The sequence below is a fragment of the Homo sapiens genome, chromosome 2, assembly GCF_000001405.40.
Source record: "Homo sapiens chromosome 2, GRCh38.p14 Primary Assembly".
In the NCBI taxonomy this organism is placed as follows: domain Eukaryota; kingdom Metazoa; phylum Chordata; class Mammalia; order Primates; family Hominidae; genus Homo; species Homo sapiens.
Genome location: NC_000002.12, coordinates 174,111,313 through 174,127,004, shown reverse-complemented (window position 1 = coordinate 174,127,004; position 15,692 = coordinate 174,111,313). Strand labels below are relative to the sequence as shown.

At 34.4% G+C, this 15,692-nt stretch overlaps 1 protein-coding gene across 3 annotated transcripts in view, besides 2 other annotated features; it reads left to right on the top strand.

Annotated features, from left to right (window-relative positions):
- Positions 1-15,692, top strand: part of OLA1 (Obg like ATPase 1) — a 176,086-nt gene that overhangs the window by 121,528 nt on the left and 38,866 nt on the right. For all 3 annotated transcript variants that reach the window (NM_001011708.3, NM_001328688.2, NM_013341.5), the window contains 2 exons: positions 3,330-3,410; positions 3,728-3,825. In NM_001011708.3, the coding sequence (NP_001011708.1) occupies positions 3,330-3,410; positions 3,728-3,825 (179 nt within the window). The remainder of the gene's footprint in view (positions 1-3,329; positions 3,411-3,727; positions 3,826-15,692) is intronic.
- Positions 1,370-2,996: an enhancer, noted in NCBI's record as "VISTA enhancer hs244". NCBI's record gives its function as "enhancer in: forebrain[11/14]" and the evidence as "EXISTENCE:transgenic organism evidence [ECO:0001131][PMID:17130149]".
- Positions 4,269-6,189: an enhancer, noted in NCBI's record as "VISTA enhancer hs243". NCBI's record gives its function as "enhancer in: limb[9/10]" and the evidence as "EXISTENCE:transgenic organism evidence [ECO:0001131][PMID:17130149]".

Sequence of the window (15,692 nt, the reverse complement as noted above, 5' to 3'; positions counted from 1 at the left end):
CTTTGCAGTTAAAAGATAGTCATTTAGCAAAAGCTAGTTCTTGCAGAATGTTAAGATTAGAAGCCTGACTTGAGATTTCATGAAAAAAGCCAGTATTTTTAGAAACTCAGAAATTTGAAGAAAAGGACTAGTGAACAATTATACAGATGAAAAAGTATACATATGCTTTAAAGGAGCACCCAAGAGAACATATTGCCATTTTGTAGATCACTGGGATTTAATCTTTCAGCAATCATAACAACAATGGCAACTACTCACATTTATTGAGAATTCATTCTGTGCCAAGAACTGTGCTAAACACTATATGCACTATCTCTTTTAATCTTCACAACACTCCCTAGGAGGTAGATCTCATCCTCTGCATTTTATCAATGAAGTAGGTCACAGACCTGGTAAGTGGCTAGGATTTATTCCCATGCTTAAGCATTATACTGTTACCTCTTGAATTAGTCCACTCATGTAACTGCAGTCTAACCGAAAAGTTCAAATGACCAGGAATTTTTATGTATCTCTATAATGTACAGAATTTATTTTGAAAATGAGGGATTTGTTAAAGTTACCAAAACAGCCCAATTTAGTACCCCTACATCTGCATTTCTATATAATGATAGTAAAGAAATATGGAACCTAAGGCAACTTCTGAATGCATTGGGTATTCAATTTTTTTTTCCAGTTAACCAAGCTCAGTTAACTGGAACCTTTTATTGTTCTAATCATCGTTATTTATATATGTATTTATATATATGAACATAAGGAAATAAATTCAATCAACCAATAAGTATTATATCCAAACAAGCCCAAATGTTTTCTTTCATCTGTTTAGAAGTTTTTCCGATAAAGAATATAACATCTTTTAATTTTTTGCTAAAATTAGAATTTTTACTTTATGTAAGAAAAAGAGCACATTGAAACTATACCATATACTGATCATTTATATAAGATAGTCTTATCTGAAAAGCAATCTATTTTTGATTTGTCTTAAATAAAACTGACATCTTTTAGTAAATCTAAGTTGTCTTTTCTTGGCTGTTAAATCTTTTGTGGGAATAATTAAGAGAGCACTGAGTACAAAATGTTTTTATTTCAACTGTCCAAAAACTAGGTTATAATATATAAATTTCTCTAAAAATATTTGAATGTGGCTTTAAGGAATACTGTGCTGTTCAAGAACTTTGATTATAAGTGAATTCTATTTAATTAAAACTTGACTGCAAAAAATTTTTTGAGTGCTTCTAATTTGTAATGTAATTTGTAATGTGAGAAAAAGCAAATGCCAAAATGCTTTTGTGATAAGATTTCTATATCTGAAATAATGGTCCAGTTAATTTAAAATGAAAGAGAAATACTGAAATTCCTTCACTGGTGATCAGCACTTATTGAGGCTCTGAGGTTTTGTAAAAATGTTTGTAGTTACAGAAGTATTTTATACTTTTTATATGATTAAAATTTAATTTCTTCCCCTATTTTTTGTTTGGCTTTCTTTTGTCTGTTTTCTTTCTTTAATTGAAAAAACTAATGGAACCAAATATAAGATGGTACGACTGTTTTTTCTTTCTTTTGTATAATCTTGTTGCGTGTCTCTACATAAGCTGTTCTGGCCACTCATCATAGTAACCAGCTGGGCCATTTCACCTGCTGGAGCCATTAAAGAGGACTCTCTCCCCCTAGATTAATCCCCTCCGACATTAGTTTTTTGCACTGACAACTAGAGCAGGCATTCAGAATTTGCAGGTGGCCAGTGTGACGCACATAATTGCCTACAATTTTAGGCAATGAATAAAAATGGTCTACATTACTTGTCAAAGGTTGTATATGCAGTGCCAAGTGAGATCTATGGGAAGCCTTTTAGGGTTTAAAGAACAGTTAATAGCAAGGCTGCACAGGGCTTTTTTAATCATAATGCATTTGTAATATAGCACTTTGATCTTCTCCTTGTAGGAAATGGTGTTACATTAGCCACTTTTAAACATTTATGAGTGAAATTCAGTTATAGAAGAGTAAAAGTGATTATTCTTAAGCCGAACATGTTAGATTTCATTAAAAGTTTTCAGCTTGCCCCTTCCTTGTTAAAATCTGTGGGAAGTCCTTTGCCTGGAGGGTTTCAAATCAGGATCTAAGGATATAAGGCTTTTTCCTTATTTTTCCTGTTGGTAACAGCAAAATTTGGAAGGAAGGTATACTAAATATTGAGATAATTTATACAAATGGATATTTAAAGAAGAATAACTGATTATGGTAAAGTAAAATACATTGATAAAAATCCAGGAAATTGATTACTAATAATTGTGTTACAATAAATTTTGAGAAATGCATATTTAAAACATATCCATAAATTATCTTTAGTAACAACAACAACAGACACCCAGATGACTCTCAAATGCACTTCTTCTGGAAGAGCTAAATTTGACCTTTCAGACCCCAGAGCCTTTTATTAACACCTGCCTGTAAGGAGAACCTTGCCACACGCAGCTTTTAGATTCAGAACCACAAAACTGATGAGGAAAGGCTTGAAGGGTTCAGTTTGTGTCACTTGCTGTTTGCCGTTTCCATTTCACAGATGATTAATCTTTCTGTGAAGAAAGGCCAGAGAAACAAAGCACATTGGGCTCTTCCTGCAGTTACTCCTTCTGAATGCACACTAGCTTGCTAACTAAAAGGCCTTTAGATTTCCAGCAGAGAGAGATGTTCTGAAAGTGAATGCAGCTGGTTGGAGGTCACCAGTGCAGGGCTCTTGCCATTGTGTAATGGAGGCTTTGGCAGGTTCGGGGGGTGGGGGAGTTGGGGGTATTGGGGGTGCGGCTGCGGGAGAAGTGGGCAGGGAGAAGGTGTTGGCAAAAAATTAATCTAAAATAAAAAGGGATCTGGTCAGTTGATTTAATATTTTGGAGGCTGGATCATCGATAATAGGCTCAATTTTGTCTTGTTTGTTTTTCTTCTTAGGGGAAAAATATAATTTAGTCTTTCTTCAGTATATCCCCTCACTCCATTTTCTAATAGCATGTTTGTCTTCTATATGGCATCACTAGGTAATATTGAAATGGTAGTAACTCTTGTATTAGTCTTTGATGTAATTGAATTGTCTTGACATTTTTCAGGCTGTTACTAATTTTTGCTAATATTGTCCATTTTATACATTAAAAATTTAATGCCACAATGTTTTATTAGTAATTGGTTTTTAAATGAGATATTGAAAATAATTATTTGTGTGACCTAGCCCCCTTTCATTAAAACAATCTATTTTTATTTTGAAAATTTGAAAACTTTTTAATATTTAGTATCTAAATGTTTAGTTATTCATATATATTTACCTTTTTCTCAATCATGTGTAGGATATAATGTGCAAAGTAAAATCCTGGGTTATAGATCAAAAGAAACCTGTTCGCTTCTATCATGATTGGAATGACAAAGAGGTAAGTTGTAAATATCATGCCATCTATTACTGCCTTTGCTTTCATTTGCTAGGGAACAAATTAGAGTTGTTGTTATTTTACACTTACCATTATATCTAAATTTTTATTTCTGTCAGTGATTGCTTATTCCTGGGCTTGTTATTTTTTTCTTTTCCCCCACTCATGATATTTCATAACCACTAATCTTTTGGAAAGAAGAATTATAAAAATGAAAATGCCTACTTGTTTTAAGGAATGTTTACTTTCAAATTCTTCAGTGATTTACTCCATATTTACTAAACTTTTAAAAGGGATTCTTTCTCCATCTCCCACTTTAGATTGAAGTGTTGAATAAACACTTATTTTTGACTTCAAAACCAATGGTCTACTTGGTTAATCTTTCTGAAAAAGACTACATTAGAAAGAAAAACAAATGGTAAGTTTTTCCTCACCAGATATACCCAGATGCATCATCTCTGTACACACACAAACACACACCCACATATATGTACTTAACGGCAATGTTTAATTTTAATATTTTTCTCCTTATTAAAAAGTTTAAAATGGATGAGAAAGCTGTGCTTGGTATTTACCTTCACAGATGAGTCTTCTAATTGACTTAGAGAACTTAAGAAAAACTGAATTAAATAAGCAATATTGAATTATATACATTTACTTATCAAATGTAAGTTTATTAGACATTATCGTTTATTTCCATTGCAAAATGAGAATAAATGTAGTCACAACAATAAAACTTCTTACACTAGGAATTTCTAGCTGTGTTGATATTATAAGTGACTTTAAAATACCCACCTGGGGTTGTAGCTGGGCATGAATTTTAAAATCCAGATTGAATGCTTTAAAAAAAAAAAAAAAAAGACTGTGTGTGGGGAAAGACCAGTACCTGTTTCAAATGCTTTAAAAGTACATCGAGGTAAAAACTATGCATTCATGTATTGATTGTCATTTTTGGCATGTAACCAAAATGTACAAGATTTGTTACTATCACTGATAACTTCAGAAAATTATATGTTCATGTACCTGTGGGCATGTCCACATTTGGCATACCACTCACTTTGACTTGCCTCACTGGACTCTTAAGTATTTTATACTATTGAGTCATACAAACAAATCAAAACTATCCAAAGCAAAATATCTGAATTCTCCTAAACTATATTGTCTGTTTCTCCCTGTACTTCATTAAGTACTTAGATGCACATGGTTTCAATTTTCCATTAAAAATTCTCATTTCCATATGATATCAAAGAGTGAGAAGGCTTTAAACTGAAAAATAAACATTCATAGACTGGAAGCCAAAACAATAATTAATGTCAGATGGTTAACTCCAATAAATCATTAGAATAAATTCTGTGAAATTACTGCAACTAAAAATGCCCTGTTGATATTACTATAAGACATTTTGTGTTCCTGATAGGAAGATGAATTTAGCCTCTTTATTGGTAATGTTCTAAAAAGCATAAATTTAACATAAAGATTTCATTCAGCTGGTCAGTATCCTCCATCAGGTAATTAACTTTAAAATAATCAGTTCTGTCGCCTTTCAAATTCTTATAAATTTGATGATTAATGTGTTAAAAATTGTTACCTTTAGGAATGAATTTTAAAATTTATTACTTGACCTCAGTTAATAAATCTTCTCATTGTGGTATGAATGGTAAGGTTTCCTGAGGCTCTGTGAAACAATACAGACATCAAAGTTTACATGAAAAGGGATGAGTCAGTTTCCTTGCCCAAAGGGACTTCTCACACCTGTATTTGGATGATTACAGGTAGAACTCCCTGGCTCTAATTGTATAGTAAATACCATTTCCCAGACCCTAATGGTAGACAGACTGCTTAGGAGACGCCAGTCTGTGATTTAGCTGTCGCCAGACACCCCATGTTTTTTGTGAGACCAGTTGTGATGATGACATGGTTATAGCCAATTGAAAGTAAACCCTTGTCTAAATAGCAAATTTTAATTTATAATAATGTAGAGGTATGAATGATCCTATTTTATAAAACCAAATCTTAATAGGTTTTATGTATAACTAATGATCTGGCTTGGGGTTGGTGTGTGTATGTCTTGGGGGGAGGGTTGGGAGGGATCCAGATCTTGTGGAAGTTAGTGTAATTGTAGCTGAAAGATCAAAGACTGGGTAACTGAATGATGTTCCAGAAGAGAATTTACCACATAGCCATTTTCTGTACAGTTTCTGCCGCCTGCTGTTCCTATTTTCCCTCAAGCTAGCCATTGACTACCCCCTGTGCATCCCTGCTCGTAAAAAATGATTGAGGAAGTATTTGTCATATATTTATGAGTGGGAAATATTGTGTGATAGGGAATGGCATCTACTGGAGCCAGAAAGATTGCCATTTTCCTTTCATTCAGCCACTCTGCTACAGCTTTAAATCCTCTCTGTTTATGCAACATAGCCTTTGTATTAAAGTGCAGAATAAATTTTTATTATGAGGGATATGAACACTAGGTTTTCATCATTTATAACACTGAAAGCAGATGTAAATAGTTAAAATCCATTTTAACTACTAAATCCTTTTAATTGTGTTAGCATCTTGTTTTTTGGTAATGTTTACATCTAAGCTCCATTTGCATTATTAGTTGCTTCTTTAGCAAAAGAAAAAGTTTTTGTTTTTTAAGATTAACATGTAATGTTACTATAGCAAATAAGACTGATGCAGGAAACAGTAATAAATACTTTCATGGGTCTTTTAGATCTGGAAAACTATTTTAAACCATCAAGAAAGAGGAGAGGAGAGGTTTGTGACTTTGGCCACAAGAGGAGACTAAAACTGTTGTTATTTTAGCAGGTCACCATTTCAGAAGTATTGAACACTTTAGTTACTGAAGTTCACCCTAAATGTAAATGGTAATGTGTTATTTTTCAACCCTAGAAAAGAAGGAAGCATTTTGAAAGATAAGTCTATTGTGTTATTGAGTAGCTATATTGACATTTTGTGAGATGCAAAAACTGGAATGGCTGCAAGCATTAGTCATTGAATTAGTCATTTCATTGATTTATGACTAAAGACCTAGCCCCTGAAGAGAAGCTGACATGGCAGCCGGGTTGGTTGCAGTTGTGTTATGATCAAATGACAGTAATCAAGATGTTGTAAGTGAATCCACAAACCATTTTTTATTATTACAAATTGCTGTTTCTTGAATGAGTAAAACTATATAGAAGTTTTTGTTGTTTTTGGTGAGCACAAGCATTTTTGAACACTTGAGGTTTTCATTTTCTAAACACGATCAGCTGTTACTTATAACTAAGATTATACTATAGACGGTATTAATTTTCATTTGAGATTGCTTACTGAGTCATGGTGTCAAGCAGGTACAGGACATTAGAACTGTCAAACTACTGCTTAATTAGGGGTTTAAATTTCAATCTTTGCACCCTTGCTGCTCTGTTAGTAGAATATGCCATCCAATTATGAAATCAGTAGAATAAACTAATTTTACATATTTTTTACACCTACCAGCCATCAATTATGTTTCATTTTTGTGATCCTACCTTTCTTGAAACTGTTAATAAAGGATAATTATATTTTATTATTTATTATACTACATATTTATGTTCAACTGGAAAATATAACTAAACTTTTAGATACGCAGACTGTGTGTGTGTGTGTGTGTGTGTTTGTGTGTGTGTGTGTTATACACACATTTTCATATGCCCTGGTGGGCTTGTAGTCATTTAACATTACCTTTTGGGTAATATTATATGAGTCAATTAATCTGAGTGATGAAATTGATTCAAGATAGGTAGACAAATACTTGGAAAGTCTTTTAAGTTGTTTAATAATGAAGGGCAATGTGTCAAGTTCACTAAATGCATTTTAAATAGAAAAATGTTTTATTATTCTTATTATACCATGATTCAGTTCCTTCCCCTTTCCCATCTTTATGTGTTCATTAGTTTTCCACATAATTTGTACATAACAACTAAAAATAGTTTGGGGATACTACACATTATGTGCTTGGTTTGGGGGGAATCATGGAATAAATATATTTTCTTGATTTCTTGAGCTGCCTATAAAAATTACAGCTACTATATCTCAGTAAGTGTATATGTAGGTGGAAGTGTGTATATTTTTGACACACAATTTTCTATTTCTGTATGTGTGCATATATATACAAACACATATATGCATATAAATATAAAAAACTATTTCTATAGAACTATTGTAGGAGGTCATCAGTTTCTGACAAGATCATTTAAGCTAGAAATATAACACAGACATTCTGCTTTGGAAAGATTACTTTGTATTATGATAAAGCTTATTGTTAACAGTATTATTTATACTATGAATTAGGATTTCAAATAATTTTTTGGTGAATGAATTTTGTGGAATTGATTATTTCTTTCTCTGATCAGAATCTTTAGAATTAAAAAGAATATGATAAAGAAAAATGATCTTTTTATTACAGGAGATGGAAGGCTGAAAGAAGTGGGGATGGGGAAAAACCTTTGCCCATTCAGGAATCTTTTTTTTTTTTCTTTTTTGGTCAAATGTACTTTTGCATTTGAATATATTTTTACATGTAATAATATTTGTGAATTCCTATTTGGTTTTCATTAAATGGGTTTTGAATATTCTTTCGACAATTTCATATTCTTATCGAGAGATAACAATACAGTAGTGCACTTCTGGTTTCTTATGAAAGAGATAATTATATACGAAAGCACTTTTTTTATATGAACATAATGCTACTGACCCTATGCATATTAGGAATTTCCCTTGGCCTGTTTGTATTTTTTGCAATACTATTTATAGCCAATGATTTCTATTTGCCAGATGGTTCACTGAATTCAAGAAAGTGATACATTTGGGAGTGCCCGTTGTAATCTTCATTAGCACCATCTGCTGACTTACTGATTTGTGAGTGATGTAATTTATCAAATATGTCAGGACTTTCATCTTTTTCAAACTAGCTGAAGAATTTCACTCCACATAAACAGGAAAAGTTATATAAAATTTTTTCTAGCTTCCACAGATTAAAAGGTTTATAAGTACTTTTTAAAAAATTAAGTGTTCCTTAGGATTCTGTCATGTGAAATTAAAATATATATTCTCTATACATGTACACACATCTATGTTCTAGGAAATGAAATATAAAGTTTGGTTTATAGCTATCCAGTGTTCTTCAAATTACAAATGATTCATCTACACAAAGAATTTCTTTGCTTCCCTACCCTACTCACTTTGTTGAATAATTCAAAAACAATCCCCTTAAAAATCTGCACTAGAGATTAAGGATCTCTGAGTCATATTTTGTTACCAAAACACTGAGTTGGGATGAGCTACACTTTTACAACCGGAGTTGATATGGTTTGGATTTTTGTCTCTGCCCGAATCTCATGTTGAATTATAATTCCCAGTGTTGGAGGAGGGGCCTGGTATGAGACGATTGGACCGCAGGGGTGGATTTCCTTCTTGCTGTTCTCGTGATAATGAGTGAGTTCTCATGAGATCTGGTTGTTTAAAAGTGTGTAGCACCTACACCTTTGCTCTCTTCCTCCTTCTCCGGCTGTGCCTGCTTCCTGTTTACCTTTGCCATGATTGGAAGTTTCCTGAGGCCTCCCCAGCCGTGCCTCACAGCCTGCAGAACTGTGAGCCAGTTAGACCTCTTTTCTTTATAAATTACCCAGTCTCAGGTATTTCTTTATAGCAATGTGAGAATGGACTAATACAGGAGTTTAGTAGTTGGTGAAGAGGGTAGTGGAGAATTTTGAAGCTCAGAAATCTCAGGACTGTTGGGAGTGGGAAATATAGGGCAGGACCTCGGGAAGGATTTAGAATGGAGGTTCAAGATAGTTTGTAGGATTTGAATAACAGGTTTTCCTGGGAGAAGGGTGGAGAAAAGGAAAGGTGAACAATGTCAGTGTTTTACAGCCTAATGTGTCCTGCTTGTGTGGGATAGGAGGAAGAGCATTATTTGTCTCTACCGTTCTTTCCTGTGCAGCATGTTCCCCAGACACAGCATCTACCTTTGGATTTAATGTTGTAGTTTAACTATTTGATGAGTTAAATAGACTTGAAGCCTAGCCCAAAATGTTAGGGACCATTAATAATATTGTTTCTATAAAGAAAACGAATCCTAAAAAACTGGAGAATATGGTCTATTTGTAACCTAGGGAGTAGAAACTATCAAGGAGTTGGGTGTGTTAAGAAGAATACTACTTTAGAATTTGAAATACAAGTGCTATGGTCTTTATTTGCTACTATAAGTAGCTCTTTGAACTTGGCCATTTAAATTACTTAGCCTTTCATGTAGAAGATAATTCATTGAGATTGTTCATATAAAATGTGTTCTGTATAAATAATGTTTCCCAAATTTACTTATAGCTCAAAAAGTATTCAATAATGGAAAAAGAACTTGTTTTGGCCTTGTGAATGCATCTTTTGGATACATTACCTTGGTTTTTATTTCTGTTATTGGATTAAGGAACAAAATTTATTACATGTATAAATATAACAGTGAGACTCCCATGATATCACTGCCATGTTCTCTACAACCCCATCCCCTCTTTCAGGTTGGGCCCTATAACTTCACCATTTGCAGCTTAGAGGATTTTATTGTCACCCTTGGCTTCCATTAGAGTAAATCATTCTTTGTTTACATTGTTACAATATGTACAGTCTTTATGTAAAATCATGTTACAGTAGCATGATTTTTTAAAGAAAATTGTTTATTCTTTTAAAAACCTTTTAAAACAGTTTCATTGTGATTTCATATATCTCAGTCTCTCTGAGTATGAATGTATGTATGTATGTGTTGGGGGTGAGGCAGTGCAAGTTAGTAAAGAATTAAAGATCATCTCTAAGGTTCCCTTCCAGGGCTAGAATTTTATGATTTTAATGAAGTGTAATGAATTCATAAAGAAAAGATACCCATGCAAATATCTAGGTTTGCCATAGTAACTTTTCCTAATTGCGTACAGAGCATTCCTGAGGTTGCAGCCCAATTTAAGAGCAACTTTTCTGGGCTGGGTTACAGATAAGACCTGATCTTTTTTCCTACTCTCATTCCCTCTTCCATATCTCAGGGCCTTGAAAATAAGCCTTTTCTGCATCTCACCATGTTTCTTCCCATCTTTTATCTTAGTGGGCAGCTGTTGCTTTGGCTAGAATAAGAGCAAAGTGAATTGGCATATCTATATTTGAGATCAGTAACATTACTTAAACTATTATATTCCTTTATTCTAAATTGACCTAGAAAGCATGTCCCATCAAAAACATTAGAATGTGAGACTCACCCTCAAAAGCCTATTTAATTCACAATGTAGTAGAAATAGAACAATTTGAGAAATATTTTTGTATCTGTGACCATTTTTACGACCAGTTTTAAAATTCTGCTTTTTAAAAATGTGTTTTAAAATAACCGACTTATGAACTTTGCATATACTCCTGTTTATATAAGGCTGGGACTGCACATTGCTGTGCAATCTGTATTTTTAATGCTTTACATCAAGAAAAGCAAAACTTGGTAAAAAAAACTGTCATTATAAATGCAAATTTCAAATTTATGTTCCTTTTGAAGACTGTGAGCTCATTGAGGAGGTGGGTACTGTTTTCTTTTTCCTTTTTAAGCAAATAATTATTAAGAATTATTAAGCCCTTCTGTGTGTCATGTATTATCTTAGGTGGTGAACAGAAAAAGCCCTTTCTCCTGGAAGACTTACAGTCTCATGGAGTAATAGACATCCAACAAACAGACATTTAATATAATGCAGGGAATGATTAGGACCGTGAATAAAAACAAAGCAGAGTAAGAGGAAACTGTTTTAGTTAGGGCGGCTGGGGAAGACCTTATGAAATAAGGATACATGCCATGAGAGAATCCATGGAAAGCTCAGTTCAGGGAGAGGAAACTGCAAGTACAAAGGCTCTGAGGTAGCTAGATGGAATAAAACAGAATACGAGTTATAGGAATTGAAGTTGGAGAAGGAAACAGGAGTCAGTTGATGTAGAGCATAATGGGCCATCAAAAAGGAATAAAATGTGAAGACAACCACTTGAAAAAACGTATATGTTTTTATTTAAGTACATACCATTGAAACATTTTAAACATGTTCTAAATGTGTTCTAAAATTTTATTTGGGTTTTAAGAATAACCATAATGTATTTTCTAGTTTGCTTTCGTTGATTTCTTATAGTCCAGAAATATTTTTGATTGCTAAGTGTTTTAAACAGCCTTTAAAGTAATAATTGCAATTTATTTCAAATTTCATCTTTCCTTTTCCATGCTTGTCTAGTGACTTGTTGATTCATGCTACCAATTATGAAGCACTTTTTAAAAGCCCCTCGATGTACAACTTCAAAGAAATAGGTTGAACTTTATTAAGAAATAACAGCAGCCAACATTTGTCTAGAGCCTTACGGTGTTTCAGCTTTTTTATTTCATTTGATCCTCAAATTCCGAGATGACCCTCATTACACTATTACATTGGCCTTGAATTGAATGTTTACTAAAATGAAGCATTTTTTTCCTTTTCTTTTTTTTTCAGAGACAGGGTCTCACTCTCTTGACCAGGCTGGAGTGCAGTGGTGCAATCACAGCTCATTGCAGTCTGGACCTCCCTGACGGGCGCAGGCTACCACACCTGGCTAGTTTTTGTATTTTTTGTAAGAGTCAGGGTTTCCCATGTTGCCCAGGCTGGTCTAGAACTCCTTGGCTCAAGCGATCCACGTGCCTTGGCCTCTCAAAGTGCTGAGATTACAGGTGTGAACCACTATACCTGGCCAAAATGAAGCATTTGCATCATTGGAATAAGAGTTCTGCATATTAGTTTAGGAATGGGTTACTCCAACAGAGAGAGAAATAAGCTTTGTCTTTTCATTAGCAAAGATTTAGCAGTGCCTTTTCAGTACTTTAAATATTTGTCATTGAAATCAAGGGGTAGTCATCAGTATTCCTGGGTGATAATCAGCATTTTCCTTAGAGATTCTTTTAAAAGAATGTATTATGGGGCTGTGGGAAATGTTGTTGGATTTAATCCATTTTGAAATTTAAAAGGAAAAGATCAAATAGCATCTGTTCATTGGTAATCATTTTTAGCCTTTTTAAATGAAATTTTAAAAGATTTTTCCCCAGGAACGTATATGGATGTCCAACATGAAGGTCACTAGCAGTTTTCAAACATGACTTTTAAGTTTTGTCATTTTTCTTTTGTATGTCCTGCTTCCCCGCTTCCTCCATTTAATATAATTGATTTAGCTTTTTTTTTTTTTTTTTTTTTTTTTTTTTTTTGAGGCGGAGTCTTGCTCTGTCGCCCAGGCTGGAGTGCAGTGGCGCGATCTCTGCCCACTGCAAGCTCCTCCTCCCGGGTTCACGCCATTCTCCTGTCTCAGCCTTCCGAGTAGCTGGGACTACAGGCGCCCGCCACCAGGCTGGCTAATTTTTTTTTTTTTTTTTTTTTGTATTTTTAGTAGAGACAGGGTTTCACCGTGTTAGCCAGGATGGTCTTGATCTCCTGACCTCGTGATCCGCCCGTCTCAGCCTCCCAAAGTGCTGGGATTACAGGCATGAGCCACCGCGCCCGGCCGATTTAGCTTTTCTTATACCAAACTAAAAGACATACATAGCAAACCATTATTTATTGTTGAGTTCCTGCTATGTGATGGGCATTCTGAGCTTGGAAATTGCTGAGATGTATGATATTATACTTATCAAGCAGATATTATCATGCCCATTTTACAGATAGGGCAGGCGGTTGGAAAGATTATAAAACATGCCCAAGTTCTTGGAGCAGGTAAGTGGTAGAAATAGATCCATTTGACCTGAATGCGACTGTTCCACACAGGATGACTGACAGCTAAGCGACAGTACAAGATATGTTTGTGAATCTCCAGAAATCTTTGAAAATATCACGTCAGCAACTTTAGCATTTTGCTTTGTTTTATCTCAGAAAGTTTAATCTCCATCCAATTGTTTAGTTAATAAACTAAATTAGGATTTTAGTTAAAAAGAACAATTCTCAAGACAACATTTGTGGGTTTTTTTTTAGGATAATAAGCATTTGCTGCTGCTGTTTTTGCCTTGTCTCGTAATTTTATTAACTATTTAATAACATTGTTAAGAGGCAACAGCAATATATTTTAGGACCCACCTTAGCTTGCATTTTTACGCAATATCATGTATAAAAATTTTGGTGGAGAAAATACAATGGCTCTTATTGAAACCGAAATTAAAAATTATATGAAATTGCCAAGTCTAAAATAGTGGTACAGAATAAACCCCCCAAAAACATACCTGTAACCACAGATTGGTTTTTATATATTGATATGATAAACAGGATTTAACTTTTTCTGTTATAGCAAACCATAATTTGTTAAAAATAATTATTTGACTGGGCACAGTGGCTTAAGCCTGTAATCCCAGCACTTTGGGAGGTTGAGAAGGGTGGATCACCTGAGGTCAGGAGTTTGAGATCAACCTGACCGACATGGTGAAACCCCATCTCTACTTAAAAAATACAAAAAAATTAGCTGGGCTTGGTGGCGGGCACCTGTAATCCCAGCTACTCGGGAGGCTGAGGCAGGAGAATCGCTTGAGCCTGGGAGATGGAGGTTGCAGTGAGTCAAGATCATGCCATTGCACTCCAGCCTGGGCAACAAGAGTGAATCTCCATCTCAAAAATAGTAATAATAATAATTCTTCAGTGATGGGGTGAGGGAGTTGATGTTATAGAAATAGGGAAATGAGAGAATATCACGTGTTAGTTTGTTTTCTGCTGCTGTAACAGATACCACAGACTAGGTAATTTATAAAGAAGAGAAATTTATTTGGTTCATGGTTCTGGAGCCCAGGAAGCCTGAGAGTATGTCACTGGCATCTTCTGAGGGTCATCCCATGGCAGAAGAGCAGAAGGCAGAAACAAGTGGGAGACAGAGAGCAAAGTGGGTCAAACTCATTCTCTGTATCAGGAGTCCACTCCTGAAATAACTAACCTACTCCCATGATTACAGCATTAATTGCTTCATAAGGGGTGAGCCCTCATGACCTAGCCACCTCTTAAAGGTCCCACTTCCCAATCCCATTGCACTGGGGGCTTAGGATTCCTAACACACGAACCTTGGGGGGCACATTCAAACCACAGCACTATGAGGTAGAGCAATGGCAGATAATTTGTATGCCTAATGTTGTATTTGTAGTAGTCGTCATTCAGTCAACACTTCACACTTGACCTTATGCCAGTTATATTTAAGATTCCCAACAAGCTTGTAAAGTAGGTGCCATTATTACCCACATTTTAAGGAAATGAAAAGCAAGTATGGAGAGATTAAGGAACTTGGCCAAAGTTACATAACCAGTCAGTGGTGCCGACATCCAATTGTAAGCAGTTCATCTGCAGAGCTCATGTTCCTCACTAACTGCTAAGCCATAGTATCTCAGCACTGGGGCACTGGTGATGCTGGAAAGGTAGACAAGGCCTGAGAAATGTGTCATATACCAGTCACATTTCCTATTACTATGAATTTCATTTAGGTAAGGTTTTGTTGTTAGACAGTTCATGCACTATAAAATCTGAGACTAAAAATTCATTATAACCTAATTAGAAAATGCCAACTGAGAGTGGTATTTTTTAAAAAATTGTACCTAAAATTGTATCTTTAATTGTATGGACTTCTCTCTAAAAACTATTTTCCAATTTAATAGCCATTGTAGGGACAGTACATAAAAGAGTTTATATATTTTTATATTGAAAATACATATTATTGCTACTTTTCTCAAGAAAACTACTTTCTTCAACCACTTGTTTTATTTGTGTATTTGTTTTTAACCATGTACTGACTTATTCTGTTTCCTTGCATTTTCACTAACTTGGATTTGTTTTTGAGAACTACTTTGGGAGTAGGGAAGTGTGTGAGACTGTGTGTGTTTGTACATATCTCCTTTATTAGCTGAAATACAAATGGATGTTTTGTATAATGTTCTGGTTTAGTACTATATTAGTGCATAGCAATATAATGAACATTGTATACGTATATGTATATGTATATGTACATGTACATCCAGGTCGGGCAAAACTAATGACTACCATTTGTTGAGCATCTATTATATGCTGCACTTTGGGGTGTTTACATATGTTCTATCATTTCGTTTAATCCCCATAACAACCTTGGAAGGCAAATTTCTATCCATTTACTAATGAGAACCTAAGGCTCAGAGAAGTGAAGTAAGAAATCTAGTTAAATATTTTGGAAACTTCTTTTAGCTCAAATTCATGAGAGAAAGTATAAAACATTTTATGCATTTATAGCATGCTTTTCATGCAA